The sequence below is a fragment of the Homo sapiens genome, chromosome 3 (genome assembly GCF_000001405.40).
Source record: "Homo sapiens chromosome 3, GRCh38.p14 Primary Assembly".
In the NCBI taxonomy this organism is placed as follows: domain Eukaryota; kingdom Metazoa; phylum Chordata; class Mammalia; order Primates; family Hominidae; genus Homo; species Homo sapiens.
Genome location: NC_000003.12, coordinates 73,419,752 through 73,442,814, shown reverse-complemented (window position 1 = coordinate 73,442,814; position 23,063 = coordinate 73,419,752). Strand labels below are relative to the sequence as shown.

Below are 23,063 nucleotides of genomic sequence, written 5' to 3'. Positions count from 1 at the left end.
CATACCCCATCTCAAGGGACAGCTTTACCCTGCTTCTGCTCATTTTTGTCACATGGGAATGCAAGGTCATATGTGCCACACACTAGGAATTTTCAAAAGATGTAAAAAAAAAAAAAATCCACACATTTTCAGACGACTGCTGCTGATTTTTTTAATTAGTGCCTAAGTTAAAATGTTAAAGACACCACAACAGCCCACTATAGAGTTTGTGACCTCTCACCTAATTCTTTTAACTTAATGCCATCACATCTCCCTCGAGGATTTGTAACACCTAGTGTTCCTCGTAACATTTTTCCCAGTGTGTTATTCTAGTCATTTTTCTGAATCCACAATAACACAATTGGTGTCACGTTCACGTGCCCTGTAGCGCCAGTTCTGAATCTCTCCCCTTTCTTCATCCTATCACTTGTTCTCCTTTTCTCTCCTTAGGGTCTCTCCCCTTGCAGCTAAGCCTGGCTTAAGCTACCTAGGACTTTGAAACATGCAAAGGCCCGCCACCTGAATTCCTGCAAATCCTGGCCTGATGCCCTCCCCACTTCCCCTCTGTCTCGAGTGTTCACCATGCATCTCCATTGGTTTCTACCATCTGTCCTGCCTGGACTCCAGGCCTCAAATCTCTTTTCCTGCTGTCAGGTGGAACCCCATATCCAAGGGTTGAGGCAGGTCCTCCAGGAGCCCAGCAGGGAACCCCCAGGGTGGCTGGGAGCCTGGCCCAGATCACAGAGCCACAATGCCCACCACTGCCCCACCATGCCATTTAGAATGGAGCCTTTGATACATTGGTCACATTCACATGGGCAAAGAGATTACCCATGGACCATGATTGAGACCCTTCCTATCCCCCAGACTCAGCAGGGACTTTGTGATCAGGCCATTTGGTAGCTGTAAGTATTAAAAGGAAACCTTGTATCTAGAAGGAGATAGTCTCAGCAAGCCATGCCTTGTCCTGTTCAGCAGGCCAGTCATTTACAGACTCTGTATGTTGATCGGCATCCTCACGAGTACATTGTGTTTCCTGGATTGTTTTCTTTACCAGCCCCTGCCATTTCCCAGGAAGCCAGTTTTGAAAGCCTGTTTGCCCGCCTCAGCATTCCTAATGAAGATGTAAGGTCTTACTTGCTTTGGGGTTACAAATTCTGATCTCATTTCTGCCATTTGCAGGCTGTGTGCTCTTGGGCAAATTACTCTGCCTCCCTGAGCCCCAGTTCCTTCCTGGGTAAAATAGGGGTAAGAGAAATACTTCGTCCTGACCGTATCATCACCAAGTGTCAAAGAACTCTTAGCTCAGTCTGTGATTGTTTTGTCGTCAAATTATGGTCCACATGCCAAATCCAGCACACAGCCTCGTTTGGTACAGTTTGCAATTAAGAATGTATTTTACTTTTTTTTTTTTTTTTTTTTTTGGGACAGAGTCTCACTATGTCACCAGACTGAAGTGTAGTGGTGCGACCTCAGCTCACAGCAACCTCCGCCTCCCAGGTTCAAGTGATTCTCCTGCCTCAGCCTCCCCACTAGCTGGGATTACAGGCATGCTCCACCACGCCCAACTAATTTTTGTATTTTTAGTAGAGACGAGGTTTCACCATGTTGGCCAGGATGGTCTCTATCTGCCCAGCTCGTGATCTGCCCGCCTCGGCCTCCCAAAGTGCTGGGATTACAGGCGTGAGCCACCGCTCCCAGCCGTATTTTACATTTTTAAATGGTTGTTATATAAGTATCTATATACTCTTCTTGATTTTGCCTCTTGACCCACAAAGTGTAAAATATTTTCTGTCCTGTCCTTTCTAGAAAAAGTTTGCCGACCCCTGCACCAGAAAATGCTGGAAGGGCTTTCCGCCCCTGGTTTGTGACTGTTCCTTTGGTTTAGTGCACACCCACAGACTGTGCTTCAATACCTTTCAAGGCTTTCTCTCTTTTCAGGAACCGTCCCCCTGGTCGGAGGACTGCCCGACTGTTAGTAGGGGAAACCAAGTTCCTAAGAGGCTGTGAATTTCCCACACTCTGTGCAAGTTGTTCTGAGGGACTGGGCTGAGTTCACTCTCTACACTTCCCTGTCCCATCCCCGAGACACTCACTGTGCGAACTCACAGTTGTTCATTCCAAAGAGTTAGCAAGGGCCTTTTGGAGGCTGGGTGTTGTCATAGGCATTTCAGGGGTTACAAAGATGACTTGCTCGGGAACCGCCCTCGGGAATTTCCAATCTAGTTGGGGAAATGGGGGTACCCATTTGTCGCCAGTGTCGGGAAACACAGTGTGTTCTGGGACCTCCAAGGAGTCAAGGTGTCTCACGGGGCGTCCGTGAGGCCTCAGGCCCCTCAGCTTGGGCTGCATGTTGTGACATCAAGGCGCATCAAATCTCCTTCCTGCTGGTGGCCTAGGGCAGGGATGCCTGTATTCTGGCCTCCCCATTCTCAGTTCCTGTGGCAGTTGCAGCAGCCTGTTTCCGGGTCTGTTGCATGACTTTCAGAGACTGATGCTCACTGGCCTGCGTGGGATTTGGAGCTAGCCATGACAGGCACATAGTAGGCTGCCCTCACCAGCTGCCTTGCTCCCCTTCCCAGCAGGGCTCAGCATGTGCCTCCTCTCCATGTTATTGTAAAAACCGCAATTACTTTTGCACCAAACTAGTACTTCAAGTGAAACAGTGAGCCATCAGTCTCAGGCAGCCAGGATGTTCCTCAAGATCTCTGCAGCCCAAAGAAAATGTCCTCAAGACAGCGGCACCTCAATCAATTTGGCAAAGGAAAAATATTTTTTCATTCAAAAAAAAAATAAGAGTCTGGGCGCGGTGGCTCATGCCTGTAATGTCAGCACTTTGGGAGGCTGAGGTGGGTGGATTATTTGAGGTCAGGAGTTCAAGACCAGCCTGGCCAATATGGTGAACCCCAACTCTACTAAAAATAGAAAAATTAGCTTGATGTGGTGGTGCATGCCTGTAGTCCCAGCTATTCAGAAGGCTGAGGCAAGAGAATCGCTTGAACCTGGGAGGTGGAGGTTGCAGTGAGCCGAGATCACACCACTGCATTCCAGCCTGGGTGACAGAGTGAGACTCTGTTTCAAAAAATAAAATAAAATAAAATAAAATATGAGGGCCTAAGCAGATGTTCTGAGCTTACATAGCTTTTCAGAAACAAAAACTGCACTCACAGCTGCTGTTACATATTTTTTACTTTGACATTTTTTGTGTGTGCATTCTGACATCTTTGAAGTTGCTTTTTTTCTTGCTATGAAGACACAGTTTTCATCCACGTCTTACTCCTTGTTCAAGAACCAGTGGCCACTCACTAAATAGGGTTCAGACAAGCTGTTGAAAAGTCACTTTGACAAGGATGAGGGTTCACGAGTGACTAAACCATTTCTTCAACAGATTGTGATTTGGGCTCTCTAGCCATGCATAGTATACAGGGCTTGTGGGAGCAACTGTCCTACCAAAGGCACAAAAAGTGATTCTTTTAGGTCTACAGCCTTGACCTTCTTGTGAGAGCCAACTTCTTTGTTCATGTCAGACACTATAGTCCATCTGCTCACTACTGTACTCCCAAAGCCCAGAAAAGTGACTGGTGCTGAGCAGGCCCTCAGTATGTATCTGATGCTGAATTTATTCATCAGATATTTATGGAACATCAGAGGAGGAAGTTGGTGGGCATATACCGCTGACTGAGGCCTGGTTCTTGCACTGGAAGAGTGCTCTCCAGGGAAGAACAGAGGGATGCAAACAGAAAGTGACCATCCGTGTGAATCGTGCCATAAGGAGGCACCTGGGAAAGTGTGCAGGGCACTGAGGAGGGTGGGACAGAGGAGGTGAGACTTAAGGGGCACCCTGAAGGAGATGGAATTGAGCATTCCAGGCAGAGGTCATGGCCTATGTGTAGACGTGGAGGTGTGAAGGAACCTGACCCAGTTCATTCAGCACTGCCAGAAAACAGCACGCATGTCCAGAGGACGCAGATGAGGCTGGGCAGACTAAGAGAAGTTGGGTCCATGCACATGAGAAATTGGGCTGTGTCTTGAGCTTGATGGGTTTATTGGCTGTGTGTGTATTGTTAAGGACTATTCTAGCCCGGCGAACAGTAGTAACTGAAGGGAGAGTGGGGTTCCACCCGGGAAGAAGACAAGTTAGTGAATCTGTGTGATCCAGAAGAAAGATGGAAAGATCCCCAGGAAAGAAGAGCCAGCGGGCAGGTCTGAGAGATTTGAGAGAGGAAGAATCTATCCCGTGACTGGCCGGTGCCTAACAAAGGGATGCCATTGCTCCACACAGACCTGTTTCCTCCTCAGTCCTGCCATCTCACTTCTTTTTGACATGACTCTTCCAGAAGTCTATATGGCTGGACTGGAAGTTCATAGCATGGTGAGACCTGTGCTCATCATTACAATAGAGAAAACAAGGTTGTATTTTAGGTATCAGGCAAATAGACAATCCAATCAGTATGCTGAAAATAATATGCTTGAATTAGATAGCTTATTCAGCAATTAAATAAATATAAGTTCATGTCTACATCTGCTGACTGTCTGTAGCACCCTGATGACTTATGGAAGTTCAAAGAACGATTATGAGGGATATTCCCTGGGCACTTTAAGCCCTTTGTGTATATGCCTTGTCTATCTGTTTGTCTCATTGTGTGTTCCTTGGTGACCCCTCTTTGCACTTTATTTTTAATTTCCATGAAGGCAGGAAGAGGCAGGCGTCTGATGGTGCAGAGCACCCGAGAAGAGTGCCTTGTGCTCTGGTGAGCTTATTAGGCACTTTCCAGTGATGTGATTACTAACTTGAAAAAGACGTTAAGCATCTTCATCAAACAATGTGTGCCTTTGTGTGGCCAGTAGTTTTTTCATTTTTACTGGGACAGCTGTTCTCTCAAAAACAGTTCTATTATAAACAACTTGCAATCACTAACAGACTTTCTTTGCCCTTACACTGCCTCTGGGATGAGCTTTACTAAATGGTAGGGTGTGTATCATCAAGCAGGTGAACCTCCTTTTTTACACAATTGTGTGTTCCTTACTATAGGAAAGCAACATTTTGAAAATAAAACACCATTCTAAATGTGCTAGATGATTTTCCAAAGTAAAGGGTACTTTAAATTAGAAAAAAAAAATCACTTTGGTATGTCTTGTTTTAGGCATAATGGGTGCATGAGTGTTTTCCATTTTTTATTCCAAATAACACATATTAATCACAAGAATGGAAACTCAACCATGAGTCGAATTTGTATTAGTATCCTTTCCATTCCTCTCCGCCTCCTGCAGTGTGAGGCTCTTAGACACCAGACTCACCAAAGTACCCTTGTAAGGCAGCTGTTCTCAAAGTGAGGCCCGGGCACCCCTGGGGGTCCAGCACACTTGTTTCTGGGGATCTGTGAGGTCAAAAACATTTTTGTAAAAATAGCAAGATGTTATACTGTCATTCTTTTATGAGCATGTAGTACAGTGGAGTTTTCTAGCGGTTACATGACATATCACAAGCATTTGAATTCAGAAGAAAATGTGAAAATCTAGCTATCTTCAATTACACTAGCCCTTAAAGAGCTTTTGGAAGATGTAAAACTATGCTTTCCTTCTCAAAAACTTCTGTTTTGGAAAATATAGTCATTTCATAAAAATGTTATTTATATTATTATGTAATGGGTTTGTTATTGCTATTTTAAAATGAATTAATGAATAAATTTAAAATTTCTGATTATTTCTAATATGATAAATATTGCTTAATATAACCCATATAAACAACAGTCCTTGAGGTTCTCAGTAATTTTTTTTTTTTTTTTTTTTGAGACAGAGTCTTTCTCTGTCGCCAGGCTGGAGTGCAGTGGGCACCATCTTGGCTAACTGCAACCTCCACCTCCCGGGTTCAAGCAATTACCCTGCCTCAGCCTCCCAAGTACCTGGGACTACAGGTGTGTGCCACCACACCTGGCTAATTTTTTGTATTTTAGTAGAGACAGGGTTTCACCATGTTGGCCAGGATGGTCTCCATCTCCTGACCTCATGATCCGCCCACCTCAGCCTCCCAAAGTGCTGGGATTACAGGCATGAGCCACTGCACCCGGCCGGTTCTCAGTAATTTTTAAGAGTGAAAGAGTTCCTAAGGCCAAAATGTTAGAGAACCACTGCTCGGAAATACAGTGCCATATGCAGTAAAACTGTCCCAGCTTGTTATTGAGATTGGGAAACTTTCTAACAAAGAGTAAAAAGGATGTGTAAAATTTCCCTAATCATGTAGCTTAGGCCCATTTCGACTTTGATTTGTGGATGTGCAGGAAAAAGGTGAAGGACTACTTTGAAACCACAGAATCTTATGAAAAACATAACTTAAAGGCCCTCAACTTTGGGGGAGGAGAGCCAACCGTGATTGCAAGCCTTTTTTTGTGGGGACACCCAAGCACACTTTGTTTTCCTCTCCCTGCTGGTACTTGCCAATTGTGCTGTGACTGGTGGGTCTGTGAGACCGCACAGGTCATCCTTCATCTCTTCATGCAGTGAGTATGTTTTCCTGAGCACCTTCACGGGGCCTGGGCTGGTAGAAATTCAGACCCAGTCCCTGTCCTCAGGAAGCCAAAAGGCTTGCACAAGGAAACAGTCAGCAAACACATAAGCGTTAAGTGAACAGAATCATTACTGATTTTGGAAAGCGATGCAAAGGAAATGAACGGGGTGATACGACACAGTACTTTGGAAGATCTGAAAGTAAATTCATACAAGATACCTGGCAAAGGCTTTTCTAAGGAGGCTTCATTTGAGCGGAGATGGGGATGGGGGTTGGAAGGAAGGAGAAAGGGAAGAGCGGTTCCAGCAGAGAGACCTGCAGAGGCCCTGCAGAAGGGCATGGCTTGCTGGCAGTGTGGTGACCACCAGAGTGGGTGAGCAATGATGGGTATGAGACATTGATGGACAAAGGTGAGATTTTACAGAGCACTATAGGCGCTGGTGAAGAATTTGGGTTTCAATCCAAGAGTGATGGGAAGTGATCTGAGGGCTTTTCAGCAAACGGTGGAGTCATCCCTTTCTGCTTTGTAAAGACCAGCCTGGCAACTGTGTAGGGAATGAACTAGGGTAGAGAAGCAACTGGTGAGTAGGCAGGAGAGGAGGCAGAGAGCACCCAGGAGGCTCTGGGCATCATCAAGTGAGAATCCATGGTGTGCAAGGGCAATAGGCAGAATGGACAGGTTTGAGATCTAATTTGGGGTCGAACAGACCAGACTCACTGATGGACCAAGGGTGGGGATGAGGCAAGGAGAGTGAAGAAATATGACCTCTGTTTTTTATTAGAGCTGCTTTTGTTTTCTCAAATCATTGCAACAAAACTCTGCAAGGTAATTAGCATCATACCTATTATTTAGAGATTAAGAGACCAGAGGGCCAATAACGTACTCATGGGTTAATAGGGCCCTGCGCAGCATCAAAACAAGTCAGCAATTACTGCAGCTGCCCCGCCCCATCTGTGGCTTCCTTTCCCTGGTGGCACGTTCCAGTTTACTGCTCCAGTCCAGGCAGTGACACCAGGTGAGGGCCTGGAAGGAAGGCTCCTCACCCTCCAGCAAGTCAGGGCTGTTAGCTGGTGTAAGCCAAGTCACTGTGCCTCGTCTTCGGTGTCTGAGAAATGGGTCCAGAGGCATCTGCTGGCCATCAGCCCAAGTGGGATTTTATTGGGACTGGTTTATTCACGTCTCAGGTGTGTCTCGGCTCCCTGAGAAAGGGAGCATTATTCTTCAGGCCCCATGGCACGTCTCAGCAAGGGACGTGGGAGTCCTCCCCGGAGACAGTTAAACCTTTGTAAAATGAAACCTTTGTAAAATGGTGAAGGCTCTGGAAGCAATTGTGAGAATTTTAAACATCGACCATTTTCGTTGAGAAAAAGGTACCTGTGCATTTCGTTCAGGCAATGGGGCAATCATTTATTTAAAAACAAAGTTTTTAGAAAAGGTGTCAGGCTTACTCAGCAGGACAGAGGCTGAAGGAGGAGAGAAGCAAGGCAGCAAGAACCAAAATTCTTAAATGTTGTCTGTTGTCACCTCCCAAGTAGAATCTGGCAGCTCTCTGCTTTCTTCACACACAACTTGGGGCACAGCTTCAGAGGTCTAGGCAGGTATGGAACATCAGATACAGATCCGTAGTAACCAGTGACAGTCAGCCCAGCCATATCATCTCTGAAATATCTGCAGCATCTATATGGCTGAGGGGATGGCATGAAGCTGACTGCTTCTCTTCCTTCCAGTTAGTTGGGCAGCCCTTCAACAAATAACTTTCTGCTTTTGGAATTGAAAATGCATTTGGGGAATGATTATCTGCTTTCTCACCTGTAGGGCAGCCTCTCTCCTTATAACCCCTAGCTACTTTGCATACTCATGGATATATCCTGCAATTTAAATTTTTATATTTTATTCATATGTGGAGTATTTTCCCTGCAACTTTGTAAAGCACTAAATATTATATGAACATTATTCAAAACATGTCCTTTCCATAAAGTCCGTTTATATGCCATCATTATCTGCAGCATTAAATACATTTTATATCATCAGAAATTTTATGATATATTTAAAAATGAATTTCTACCTAGCCGAAACACATTAGGGATTATCCTAAGAGACCTTGCTAAAAATGCAGTCATGTTTATTTGTAACTGCCAGAAAATAGCTTGCAAAATTGTTAGTGTCTTTTATTATTCCCTACCACTGGAGCACTTGCTTGTTAATTAGAGAAATTTCAACTGTCATAGTTGGCAATTATAGCTTCTGTATCATTGTCTGTTATGAATAGTCAATGAGAGCTGATTAATATGCATGAGCAGCAGTATATATAGCGTGTGCATTGGACCACAATCCAGCTGCCAGAGTCACTCAGAGGAGGGAGTGGTGTGCGTGTATGTCTGTGTGTATGTGTGTGTGTGTGCACGCGCGTGCATGCATGCATGCTGCGAGGGGAGGAAGGGAAGCGTGGAAGGGGGGAGAGAGTTGTTGTCTAGCCTCTGAGAGCAGCGCCAATGTGAAGCGTTGCAGTCGCTTGACTCACCTGAGGCTCTCCAAGGATACCTTCAATGCCTGCACTGTAAGGGAGCTGCTTTTCCCGGGTGCTGGCGAGAACGGAAGCCTTCCTTTGACGTTTTTCTAAACATGGGATGCAGTCTGTGCAGCCTGCAGAAGCAAGAGGAGCAGTACAAATTACTCTATGAAGTTTGTCAGGTAACACCCTGCATTTTATTCCATAGAAGTGCATAGGCACCCACCTGGCCAAGTGTAACTTCTAGGAAAGGTAGTGGGGATTTTTATGTGTGTTTTTGTGCATATTTTGTGTTCTGAAAGACGCAGCCTTTCTGACTTTTTTGTGTATTTTCTCTTAAGTCTGTTATAAAATTTTCCATCCAGTGGCACTTTGGTGCCTGCATTTGAAAATATAAATAGATGTTGATGGTCATAAAATGTGTTTCAAGCAGTCTTGTCACAAGGCTCCTTCACAACTGACCTCTCTCCAGAGTGTCGAACTCAAAGGGTCAAAGAGTGGTCATGCACCCTTTGAACAAGTTAGAGAAGACATGGATGATGATTAATGCTAGCAAGGTTTTGTCTGTGTTTACAAATAGTTATAAGGCGCTCCTTTCAGTACAGCCCAAGCCCTCTGCTGACTTGGTTCTTTTAGCAATTCTTGTAGTGGGACATATGGTTCAAATTGGTACTTCTCACTTGCCATTTCTGTACCTCTGTCTGTGAAATTTTTAAGAACTTCAAAAGCAAGTGACTTGATCTTGGGTGCTGTCATTCACATCAGATGACTTGTATCTTCTGAGTCATTGTGAGCAACATGAAAATTTCAGTTGAGATGAAATGGGATATTTACGATACAACCCAGATAATTTATCTTACATCTTTGTCAAATGTTTTATTTTTAAATATTCAAGTCCTACTCTTAACTAGGAGGTTTAATACTGCTGTTGGTAACCTACCTTGGCAGGTAAGGATTTTCTCCTAAAATCATTCTTCAAATGTGTCTTGGCAGTAATAAAAAAAAAATAATCCAGCTAAGGTTTTCTTTTTAGATAAGCACTTTAAAAGAAGGTTGTTACAGCAAGTGAGAAACAAAGGGTGTGTGTTTCTTGATTTATAACAATCAATGGCATATTAATATATTTTTTAAAGAGCCAGAGTTTTTAAAAAAGAATTTGATTTGAGTGTCATTTTTTGCTTAGGCCACCAGGGGGTGATATGCTTAAAGAGACACAGGGAGACGCGGCAAAAGGTGGGTTGGCTGCCTCTCTGGACAAAACCTAAAGATAAAATGACCCTGGGTGAACAAAAAGTATCTCTCTGTCTGTCTGCCTTCCCCACTGAGACAGAGAGAGGGTCAAAACAAACCTTTTGAGGCTTGCTACTCTCCTTAGGCAAGGGGTACATATCTTACAAAAAACAAGCATCTTAAATAAGTCTTGTGAATAAATACATTTCCGACCTGTGACTTCACACTCAGGACTTCACTGGACTTAAGTCCTTTTCAAAGCATTTGGGAGACATGTTGGAGATCTCGGGCAAAAGCGCTTTCACCACTGGCGATCTGGCCCCCATCCCTTGTGTGATCATGTGGTGAGGTGTAGTCCTCAGTTTGCCAAGTTATCCCACTCAGTGAGCTGGGGAGTTCTCAGTGAGTCCAGCACGCAGGCAGGAAACAAGTGGAACAGCAGACGCTGCCATTTGGGCAAGGTGGTTCTGTTACAGACTTTTGACGCTATATTTGAAATAGCTCAACATAGTAAGTCAAAAGGTAGTTTTTAAAATTTGCCTTTTAAAAATGTTTTGCTTTTTACCATCAATGCACATAAAATATCATTCAGCAGTCACAGTTGTGGATGTATTAATTACACTGGCACCCTCCAAAAAGTAACTCTACTACATCTCTGGCAAATCTAAGTGAACCTGTCTTTTATTCTTCTGTATCATTTGTGCTCAGTCCCCCCAGCCCCACCCCCAAACACACACACACGACTGCCCCCAAAAGAGGGAGCCTGGATTCTGTTGTTTGTTTTTTACTAGGTGAATTTATGTGGAAATACTTCTGGCTGAAGCATTGCTCAGTAAATTGCTGATAAATGACTTCCATCTGGAATATACTTGGTCAGCAATTTAGGAAGCCATGCAGATTTATTTTCAAGAAACTCAAACTACTTTTCAGACCCATTACCCTTGTGCCAACTAAGTAAAATCCCCCCTGCTCCTATTCTTTGGGAGTCCTGAACCGTAGCATAAAGGAATTCACAAAACACTTGCAGGAATTAATAATTGCATTCTCGCTCTTATTATGCAAAGCCTTATTAGGGCAGAGAAATTAAGGTTTCCATAAATTACAGTTCCAGAAGGTCCGGTGCGTCTGGCTTCAGTAAGCCCTCGTAACAGCAGCACAAAGAGGATCAAATATTCCAGGGCTCAGACTTTATCCTTTCCTCATCCAGAGATAATTCAAAGAGATGCTCTTCATTAGGGCCATTGGCAAGCTGCCTACAGTTTCTTTTTGGGGGCTGCTGTGAGCTTAATGATGCAGAACAATGGCTTTGCCTCTTGTTGCACACATACCTCATTGTACCTTTAATCACATTAGAAAAACAACACCACCACATAAAGTTGCCTGGTCATTAAAGGGCATTGCAAAGAGTGCAGACGCATCAGTGATTGGGGCCATGCATTAAAAGATGCACCAAGACATTTAGGGACACTCAAACACTTCTATAGGGAGGAAGCCTCCTGCCTACCTGGGGTCGTAAGGTCAGGTCAGACAAGTATAGCAGTTCTTTATGCTTTTATGATAACTGTGGTGTCCAGGTGGTGGGGGTTGCAGGGCAGTGTGAAACGTCAAGACAGGGCCTCTGCCTACCAGAAATTTGAAATTTAACAGTTGCTTCATGATTTGGAAAACTTTAGCCTGTCTTGAGTACCTTTGAGTACTCAGAAGCACTATTAAGGTGAAAGGACAGGGAAGTAAGGAAGATGCTTTAAGGTTGTCAAGGAGTACAGTCTCCTACTTGGATAAATTAATTGGCACAGGAGATCTCATGTTCTGGGAGTAATGGGATAGGGAGCCTCACAGCTCTTGGGCTGTGGCTGGAATCCAGCTAAGGGTGGTTACCAGGTGTTGGGGCCAGGGAGTGGGAGTTGGGGGTGTAAGGATGGGAAAGTCTGTGGCTCTGTGGGTTTGATGCCAGTGACTCCAGCACAGGCTAAGCACCAGCCTTGTTTGTAGCCATGTACTGTCAAGTCAAGGGGACAGCCAGTCTGTGGATGCTTTGAGGAGGGTCTTCCAATGGAGGCCAGGAAGAGGGGAACAGAGTGCCACCCCAGCCAGTATCATTTACTCCCTCCACCTCTTCTAACATCGACCAGAGACTTTTTGTAAAATGGTGACCTTTTCTAATTTGATGAGGCAACAAGGAAATAATTCTGATTGGGAGTTAAGCTTCAAACTAGAAATTATGAGTAGCACATTGTCCTAAAGTCTGCATGCACATTTTCAGGATAAGGAAAACTTATCTATAGTCACAGGACTATTCATTACTGACAGCCACAGCATTATTTATTGTGCACTTACTATGTGCCGGCACAATGCTGAGTGTCAGCTGTGCACTTTCCCATCAGATCTGTACACAAGCATGAAGAGATAGGTGATACTGTCATCCCTATTTCAAAGAGAAGAAACTGACATACAAAGGAATTATAGTGGGACTGGGAGTCAGATCTGCACTATAATTCCCACATCTGTGAATTCTTTTCTTGTATAAATCATTTTCCAGCATTGTCAATGAATGAATGATGATCAACTTTATAGGGAACCTGCGGGTCAGTTTCCAAAAATCATGCTTGCCTTTGTGGGGCTAACATAAAGACCTTGGTGTCTCAGACAGGCCCAGGTGCTACGTGGTACCTCCTGAGAAAGGTTCCTACGGGGTTGCTGGTCCTTCATACCTGGAAAGGGTGATGTGCAGAGAAAAATGAGCTCCGGAGTAACACAGAGTTCCCACTGGCTTATCAGGCAACCTGAAGAATGAATGATTTGAGAACGCTGATGTCCTTTTGCCTCTCAGTAATAACAGGAAACATCACATAAGATTAATTTGTGCCTCTTATGGCACTTGAAGTTGTTAGCTTTGAGAAGCAAAAACTTTACCACTAACTGTGACCTGCCAGAAAACTATAGATCTGATACAGATTTGTGACCCTTTATACATCAATCTCATAGCCAGTTGGATAGAAAAACACAGATTTCCAAAGTAAATACTAATCAGAATCAAGTTTATGGAGAAGTCTGGAAACTTGACTTTGCACAATCCTGCTTGCATATTAGCTAGATGCAGTACTCAGATGAGTTTACTGCTGTAGAGCAAAGAGACTCTGCATCAGCTGAGAGTCAGATGGGTCACGGTTCGATTAAGTATGGACCCAATTAATGACGGTTAATTGGATGAACATAAACTTGACCTCCACACAGCAGTTTTGAACCTGGCAAAATTTTCCTGCAAGTAGGAGTGTGTTTGCTTAAACAGCCTATTAATTCTAAAAGCTTTGTTTTAGAAGCAGCTTTACATTCTGAATTCATTTAGGCAAAGTAGGTATGGAAAAAGAAAGCTCATCTTGGCCAGGCATGGAAGCTCATGCCCTATAATCCCAGCACTTTGGGAGGCTGAGGTGGGAGGATTGCTCGAGCCCAGGAGTTCAGGAATGGCCAGGGCAACTTGATGAGATCCCATCGCTACAAAAGAAAAAAAGAAAGAAATTTAACTTAGCCAGGCATGATGGTGCATGCCTGTAGTCCCAGCTACTCAGGAGGCTGAGGTGAGAGGATCACTTGAGCTTAGGAGTTGGAGGCTGTAGTGAACTATGCTGGTGCCACTGCATTCCAGCCTGGGTGACAGTGACAGAGCAAGACCCCTTCTCTGGGGGAAAAAAAAAACAAGCCCATCTTCTCCTCCCACCTTGACAAACAGGGCCCTTTATTGAATATGGAGCCAGCATATGGCTGAGAAAGTCACTTTTTAATACATGGCCGTTATTTGTCACTAACTGTTGTTTTCTTGTTAATTAACAATGGATTATAAACCACTTTTATGTTGATTCTGAAAAGAAACGACCTAGGGTGGGACCAGAGATTACCTCTCTTCTTTCAGTTTGTCTCCTCTTAAGACACAAAGCTTTAGAGGACCATAAAGGAGTTTTCCTTCCTTTCCCTTAGGACTAGGGCTTGATACCCACCGTCCTAGCTTAGGTGTCCTTCTGAAGTATTCCAAGGTGCCCTGCACTTCCTTCCACCTTGTTTCCATATATATGTTAATTTGGCCTCCCATGTTACACTGTAAACTAGGAAGTCTCATCACCACTGTTACTCTCAGCACATGGTTGGTTGAATAAGTTGGATTTTGTAGTGTTTGTTAGGAAGAGTGAGGAGCAAGAAAAGAAGAATACAAATCAGGAATTTAGAAAGAGAACTAGGTGTTGAATGAAATGACCATGGTTTGGACCAAGGAGGTGAGGATGTGGAACAGAGGGGACACAAGACATTCATTTTTCATTCATTCAGCCAACACGTTCACCCGACCCACCAAGTGCTGAGAACCGAGGTGCTCACCCACTTGCTCACTGGCTCCCCAGTGCCCTTGGAATTCAGTGAATTAACTGTGGCTCACAGAGCCCTGTGAGATCCAGCCTCTTCTGACCTCTCCCATAAACCTCCTGCCCTGCTCATCTGCCCTGGTCCTGCAGGCCTCCTTTCAAGACCCAGAACCCACCTTATTCCTTCCTTCTCAAGACTTTGCAGCTGGCTGTTCCTTTCTGCCTGTAAGTTAGTTCACCAATTCATCTTTGAGCTCAGCTTAAATGTCCCTCTCCCTGGAGGCCTGACCTGACCTAAGAAAATCCCCCGACCCACTCTAACCTCTCTGTGCACCGCTCCTGTATTTTGTTGGCTTGCTTATCACCTGTTTTCAACCCCAACCTCCTGGACAAATGTCAGCCCCATGAAGGTAGGGACTTTGCATCGTTCTCTGTGAAACCCCAGGTCCTGGCACATAACTAGTAACTGTTCAGGATGTGTTTACCAGATTAACTTCTGAGTGAGAAATGTATCAAGTGGATCCCACTTTGGTTTGGGAAGGGTTTTACCGTGACAAATGAGTCCATATCCCTGGTCTCTAATGGTTTCCACAGATACAGCTGCACGTTGCCATGAGGCAGATGGTACGGGGTCACAAGGGAGAAGACAGCCCCTCTCTCTGTGTTCCTGTCACCCACCTGCCATGGCATGCAGAAGGAAACATATGGAATAGTGAAAAAATCCAGCTTTAATAAATGAGTTCTCTTGTGTTCATTAATAATGCAGGAAGAGGTCATGGTTAAATGTGGGCGGTGGTGGGGGGGTGGGTAATGCACAAAAGAATACCGTCAACAGTTCGGGGTGAAGGCACAGCAGAGCCCCACTAATCCTGCATTCTCCGACCAGTGTGGAATTAAGCAGGGAACAGCCTTCACTCTCTGAAGCCCACAAAGCCAGTTTCTGGCAGTGCCACTGTCATTTATGTGACAGGCGTCATAACGTTGGTAAAATGTAGTCGAGCTGTGCTGCGGAACAGCTGGTGCTGCCCTGAGAAATGTCAGGAATGAATGTGTCCTGCCTAGAGTGACCTGTTTGCCTACTTGTTCATCAAGGGCATTTTGAGTTGTGTATTCATTGGTGAACTTCAGGGAAAGGATCCCTTTTCCATCTACTAATTGCCTGCCTCATGGGATAATTTTTTTTTCCAAATACATTTGATGATATTCATCAGCTTGTGATAAAGAATATGCCAAAATTATGCGGAAGTGAAAGAATATTATTGGCACTAATGTTCAGTTGTGCTGCATGCTGGTCTTGATTTGAGTGGCAGTAGGAAGCAAGGACAGCTTTTGACTGTGGAAGAGTCTCTGGAAGTTTCTTTTAAGTCATTAGTTCTCAGAGTAGGGTCCTGGCCCAGCAACAGCATCTGGGAACGTGTTTGTTAGAAATGCACTTTCTCAGGCCCCGCCCCAGAGCTACTGAATCAGAAACGCTGGGGTGGGGCCCAGCAATTTGTTTCACAAGGGCTCCAGGTGGGTTTGGCGCAAGTTCACGTTTAGGAGCCTATGTTCTGTATTAAATCAAAAATGCTGGAAGAGGGAGGACTGCTAGGTGACCTAAGCCTTCTGACAGATTTTCTTGAGTCTTTGTCGGATGAGTAGGCAGCAAAGAAGTCACATCTCAGACACTTAGATGTGGATCAAAAATTTAGCCATCTGTTGGTTAATACCAAAAATAAATTGTTTTGTTTGAGAACTTTTTTCAAGCAAATAGTTCTGTAATATCTAGTTTACAAGTAGAAAATTGAAGGTTATTGAATTTTGTCTGTAAAGGAGAGAGAATATATAAAATTTTCAGATACATCTGATATTCATCAGCTTGTGATAAAGAATAAGCTGAAATAGTGCAGAAGTGAAAGAATATCATTGGCACCAGTATTCAGTTTGTGTTGCACACTGGTCTTGATTTGAGTGGCAGTAGGAAATAAGGACAGTGTTTCTGACTATGGAAGAGTCTCTGGAAGTTGCTGTATATACATGATAAATATTATGTATACATTATATACATAATGTATACATATGCATGTGTGTATATATATATCTCACCATATTCTTTCTCTGAATCACTCCAGGCTCCAGCATTATCCTATATCCTCCTAAACAAGACACCCCCTGCTCCTACAAATACTCCCTTCCCAGTAGTAAATAAGAAAGTAACCTGATTAATTTCCAATAATGTGAATGATGATGGGTAGAATTCTCCTGCCGGAAGAGAATGTATTTTTAAGAAGGACCTTATTACCCAAATGAATCTGAATTGGCAGAATTCTTGTGGAAATAAGTTTGAGCAGGGGCCTCTTTCTGATGAGAGCTGTATAGCTATCACCATAATGATAGGTCATGATTTATAGACACCACATCTGGGGGGCTTTCAGGTTACAGCCTGTCAATTAAACAACATCATTGGTCAATCTTTAGTGTACATTTCTAGAAGTCGATTTTTTTGTATCTGAGGATGACCATTTTTAAAAGTCTTAATAAAGATTGCCCCTAAATGAGTCTGTCTGCGTAATACCCACCAGTGTATAAGTATCCGCCTTACCTCGCTCTTCACCCCAGTACTCACTGGGTGAGAAGGGGATTCTCTTTTTTTTTTTTTCTTCTTATTTGCCTCTTTGGTGTTCAGCTTGTCAAGGTGACAGACTGGTAAAGGATGGAATCCTGTTTTTAACTCACAGGATTATATCAGTCACAAGGTAGAAAAATTCCGCTAGGGCAGTGGTTCTCAAACTTGAACTGGCATCAGAATCACCAGGAGGGCATGTTTAAACACTGTGCGCCACACTTTACCCCTAGACTTTGGATGCTTCCGGCCTGGGAATCACCCTTTGAAATCTACTCCTCTAGGATAATCATTATTATATAAGACTAAGACTGATGATGGCTGGGCGCGGTGGCTCACGCCTGTAATCCCAGCACTTTGGGAGGCTGAGGCGGGTGGATCACTAGGTCAGGAGATCAAGACCATCGTGGATAAATGGTGAAACCCCATCTCTACTAAAAATACAAAAAAAAAAATTAGACAGGCGTGGTGGCAGGCACCTGTGGTCCCAGCTACTCAGGAGGCTGAGGCAAGAGAATGGCATGAACCTGGGAGGTGGAGCTTGCAGTGAGCCGAGATCATACCACTGCACTCCAACCTGGACAACAGAGCGAGACTCCGTCTCAAAAAAAAAAAAAAATACTGATGGATGAGTGGATGAGTGAAAGGATTGGGGAAGAGAAGGCATTTATGTGCCTCTTCAGTTCTACTAGTGTCAAATTGCTTTCCATCATTATGGTAGAGAAGTTCGTGTTGCTTCACATCCCTGCCAACACTTGGTATTGTCTGACTTCTTAGTTTTCCAATATAGTGAATATGAAGCGGTATCTCACTGTGGCTTAAATTTGCTTCACCCTGACTATGAAGTTAAGTATATATTTATGTATATTGGCCATTTTTTAGTTTCTTCCTTGTGTGTAAAGTGCCTGCTCCAACTTTTTGCCCATTTCTCTGTTGGATTTTTCCTCTTCTCTGTTGGATTTTTCCTCTTCTTCCCTGGTTGTAGGATTTGGAAAAACATAGTCTGGATACCAACCCCTCTGATGTAAGTGTTGTAAACATTTCCCAGTTTGTATCCTGTCTTTGCATATTCTTTTTTTTTTTTTTTTTTTTTTTGAGATGGAGTCTCACTCTGTCTCCCAGGCTGGAGTGCAGTGGCACGATCTCAGCTTACTGCAAGCTCTGGCCTCCCGGGTTCACGCCATTCTCCTGCCTCAGCCTTCCGAGTAGCTGGGACTACAGGCACCTGCCACTACACTCAGCTATTTTTTTTTTTTTTTTTTTTTTTTTGGTAGAGACGGGGTTTCACCATGTTAGCCAGGATGGTCTCAATCTCCTAACCTTGTGATCCACCTGCCTTGGCCTCCCAAAGTGCTGGGATTACAGGCGTGAGCCACCATGCCTGGCCTGCATATTCTTTATCATGTTTTCTAATGAACCAAATCTCTTAATTTCATAAAGTCAAATATATCCCTTTTCTTTTGGTTTGTGCTTGTTGAATCTTTGCTAGGAAATGTGTTTTCTCTCTCTGAGTCAGAAAGATATTTACTTATATTTTCCTCCCAAAGTTTTATATAAATTTTGTCTATCACAGTTACTTTTTTATATATGGTAAGATGTTAGAGTCCAACTTCATTTTGTATAAATACAGATTTTCTGGTATATCTTATAGACAAGCCCATCTCTTCCTCGTCACGGGGAAATGCCAGTTTCCCTCTGTGGTTGGTAGGTTTAACAGGCATTCATTGTAACATTCTTTGTAATTCCATACGTGTATCTTAGAAATTTTAAAACTTATTTGACATTTAAGAAAATATTAAGAGGAGACCCAAGAATAAATATCTTTTATTAAAAGCCTCCACTACCCCAAATTCTGAAGGAAAGTAAATCAGAAATACTAATAAGGGGAAGACGGAGTGGGCTGGCTGTAAACATCTTTACAAAAAGTACAAAAAGCCACTTTTAAAAATATATATATAAAGCATTCTTCATCTGTAAAAAGATTTTCTCAAACTGTAACATTTGTTGTAAAAGAAGACACATCTGTAAGACTACAGTTAGAACTAATGTTTTTATAAACACATTTCCTAAGTTTACATGTTTCTAGCTAAATAAATCTTAAGCAAAAAGTTTATCTTTTTTTGTGAACAAACAACACATGAACCAAATACGGCAAACAAATGCTTACTATTCACAGCACTAAACCAGTGAAAACAGAGGTAATTTGTTAGACATCTGGGAGAATAACAGTTTTCTCCCAGTGCGTTAAGCAGTTTACCATAACACAGACACATTCCTGTTTTGCCTCACATGACAATTATTCCCCTCCCTTGCCCAAAAGTGTCAGTGGTTGTGGCACATAACATTAGAAGTGACATGCACTTTAATAAAGTAAAACTCTAAAGAATATGAACCAATTTTCCTTTATCAAGCAGCTGTTTTCTATTTTGGGAGTCTCAAAACAGAGAAATTACTATCCTTCATAACAATATTTCAGTTAGCAGCGGGAGATGAAAAGCAGCAGCTATTTCCCCTCAGAATCACAATGGTATTTTATATTCAAAATTAAGTTCCTTTTATCTAGTTAGGGGATGACTGGCAGGAATAACTTGTAATGCACATACTGTACATTTTATATACTAGTTACTATATGTTGCAGCTAACTGCCTCCATTGATAAGTTCCTATCTGGACTAATTCCTTAATAAGAGATACCTCTGTTTCCTTTGCTTGGTATTTTCTCCTTTTTATTTCTCTCTCTGGCGACTTTCTAAATCCAAGATTTATAGCATTGGACTGAGTACCTGGAAACTTCCCAGTATTTAAAGTTTGAGTTGTTTAGCATGTCTGTCTAATCTCTCCCTCCCCAGTTAAATTAACTTGAACTTTTTGTTCCAAGTTGCGCCATGGATTGGAACAGGAAGTAGTGGCTGTTCCCCAAAGAGGAAAGGGAGGGAGTCAACCACCACTGAGAAATTGACCAAAAGGGTCCATGCATCCTTTTTCTCAAAGTTGTCCATGAAGTCTCAGAACCAACTCTACTCCATATCCAACCATGGTTAAGAAAGCCAGGGGAGGGAGGACACAGTTCCAGTGTTGTATTTTTTATCCTTGAATTAACAAGTGCCAACCCAAATTAATATTTCAGTGATTTTTTTTCCTGTCCTCATAAGAACAAAGATAAATAGCTTTTGAGTGTTACTTATCCTGCACAGGCTTTAAATGCATGAGTTATATCCAAAAGCTCATGTATTTCTCACACAGCCCCTTAAAAGTATAGATACAGTTATTATTTCCATTTCACAGATGAGACAGCTGAGGGTTAAAGTAGTTGACAAAGCAGCCTGGAGTCACACAGCTGGTAAGTTGCAGAGACAAGATCATAACACAGGACTGTCTGACTCCAGTGACTTTGGGCAGGCTCCCTCACTCATCCTGTCACTCATTCCATTAAAAGACATTAGTGGGCATCTCCCTCTAGTGTTCTGGAGGAATGTTCCAGTGTAGTACAATGGAAAGAAAAGTCCCTGCCCTCAAGGGGCTTACATTCTAGAGAGAGATGGGGTCAGAAGTTAAATACTACACTGCTGAGAATATAATTACAATGTGGGGTAAAGGCTCTAAAGGAATGTGGTTCTACTGCAGAAACATCATATAAAGACCCAAACAAGAAACTCCGCCCAGTTTTCTCCTCTGTAAAATGGAAGTACTTGACCAGGCACGGTGGCTCACGCCTGTAATCCCAGCACTTTGGGAGGCTGAGGCGGGGAGATCACGAGGTCAGGGGATCGAGACCATCCTGGCCAACATGGTGAAACCCCGTTTCTATTAAAAATACAAAAAAAGAGCTGGTCGTGGTGGCACACACCTGTAGTCCCAGCTACTTGGGAGGCTGAGGCAGGAGAATCGCTTGAACCTGGGAGGCGGAGGTTGCAGTGAGCCGAGATCATGCCACTGCACTCCAGCCTGGCAACAGAGCAAGACTCTGTCTCAAAAAAAATTGAAGTAGTTTTGTAGCTTTAGCAGTTAAATTGAGGTATCAAGGTGATATCTTATATCTTGCTCAAGTGGAAGTTCATCCTGTTTTGTTAAAGCAGGAGAAGGATTCCATTTGCAAGTTACCACAGTCTAGAACCACCTGATTGTCTTAAAGGCAGCATTTAGTGAGTGCCTACTATGTTCTCCGGGTCATATGCTGTGCTGAGGGACAGGTTAAAATAGCCACTTGCTCACAGTGTTCATGTCCTACTTCAGAGGACCTCCCTCTCCCTCAGAGCCTCAGTTGTAAAAGGGGAAGGCTTGGGTTCTTTTTATGGCTCTGCCATTGAGTGACCCCGGAAGAGTCTCTGGGCCTCTCTGAACCTTAAACTCTTCTTCTGAAGCTCAGGAATATGAGCTGTTTCTCCTAGGGTGTTAGGAGTGTCCAGGTGAGCTTTAATGTGTGTGTGAGTGTATCTGGAACCCGTATGGCACAGTGTAGGCTCTTTATGTGGGCATATAGTCAGCACTTCATATCTATGGGTTCTTCATCTGTGGATTCAACCAACTGATGATCAAAAATATTTGGAAAAAATAATTCCACAAAGTTCCAAACAGCAAAACTTGAATTTGCCACATGCCAGTACTATGTTGAATTCCCATGATGTAGGCATTGTATTAGGTATTATAAATAATCTAGAGGTGATGTAAAGTATATGGGAGGATGTAGTTGGTATGCCAAGCCTACAATAGCAATTAGGACAAGTATATGGCCATGTGATTTAAACTATATGGGAGGATGCAAATACTCTGTGTGCCATTTTATATCAGGAACTTGAGAATTCATGGATTTGGGAAGATACTGGAGCCAATATCTCATGGATATGGGGAGATGACTCTATTGTCTAATAGGCCAATCTAGGGGTTGAAGGAAAAAGCCAGCATTTCTAGAGAAGGTGGGGGCAGCCAGGCTTCCAAAATTGGGTCAAAGAGGGTCATCTTTATGGGTTGAAAGTCTCTTGGGGGACAGTTAAAATGATGGGAATAGATCCAGAAAGGTCAACTTATGTGGACATCTTCAGAGATCATTGGTGCTACATCATTTTCTTGAAAGGAACAGTGGAGAATAAGGGTTTCAACAGAAGTATGTAAAGCCAAAGCTTCTTAAAAACAATATATGGTGGTGGAAATATGCAGTACTTTTAGGGAAAATTCTCAGATTCAGTATTTGTTCAGTAGGGTATTTATTGGACACCTCCAGTGTGCCAAGTAGGGGCATCCACTGGCAGGACTGCAGTGGTCCAACTAACAAGGTCCTGGTCTTAGATGGAGGAAAACATCCACCAAGTTTTATCACACAGATGAAAATGCACCAGCGCAGCCAGCACTTGGGGTGGCCAGTGCCAAGTGCAAGGGGAACAAAACAGAGGATGGGACCCAGTTACGATGGCCAGGCTGGGCTTCCTGAGTCATCTCAATATGGAGCAGTCAGTGTCAGCCAGGCATAGTCTCCAAGACAGAAGGAGTCATGGATTTCTAGGAAAAGCATTTCACTGATAATACTTTAATGTGCATCTGTGTCCTACACTGTCTCGTATCCAGAGAGGGCCATGTTTCTAAGGGGCTATCCCAAGTTTGACACATATTCCTGGAGCTAAAGCAAGTGAAAACACTTAGGAAAGTATGAAAGCTCTGTGTGGATGGTGGTGTATGACTCTGCAATGTATATTTTAAAGAAGAAATGTTTTGGAAAGTCATTAAAAATGTTAACCACATCCCCCTCCAAACTAAAAAGCTGATGAAGGGAACATATTTTCAAATTACACATTTAAAAACATATATGTTTATATCAACAAAAGATAGCCTATGTTAGACCCAGATATAGTTGATATGCCAAGCCTGCGATAGCAATTAAGACACGTATATGGC

At 43.3% G+C, this 23,063-nt stretch overlaps 1 protein-coding gene across 6 annotated transcripts in view; it reads left to right on the top strand.

Moving 5' to 3' along the window:
- Nucleotides 1-23,063, top strand: part of PDZRN3 (PDZ domain containing ring finger 3) — a 242,511-nt gene that overhangs the window by 182,127 nt on the left and 37,321 nt on the right. The window contains exon 1 of one of the 6 annotated variants that reach the window (NM_001303142.2): nucleotides 8,820-9,176. The exons of the other annotated variants lie outside the window; for them this stretch is intronic. Within the exon in view, the coding sequence (NP_001290071.1) occupies nucleotides 9,108-9,176 (69 nt within the window). The 5' untranslated portion in view covers nucleotides 8,820-9,107. Of the gene's footprint in view, nucleotides 1-8,819; nucleotides 9,177-23,063 lie in introns of those variants that run through there. 6 annotated transcript variants of the gene reach the window in all.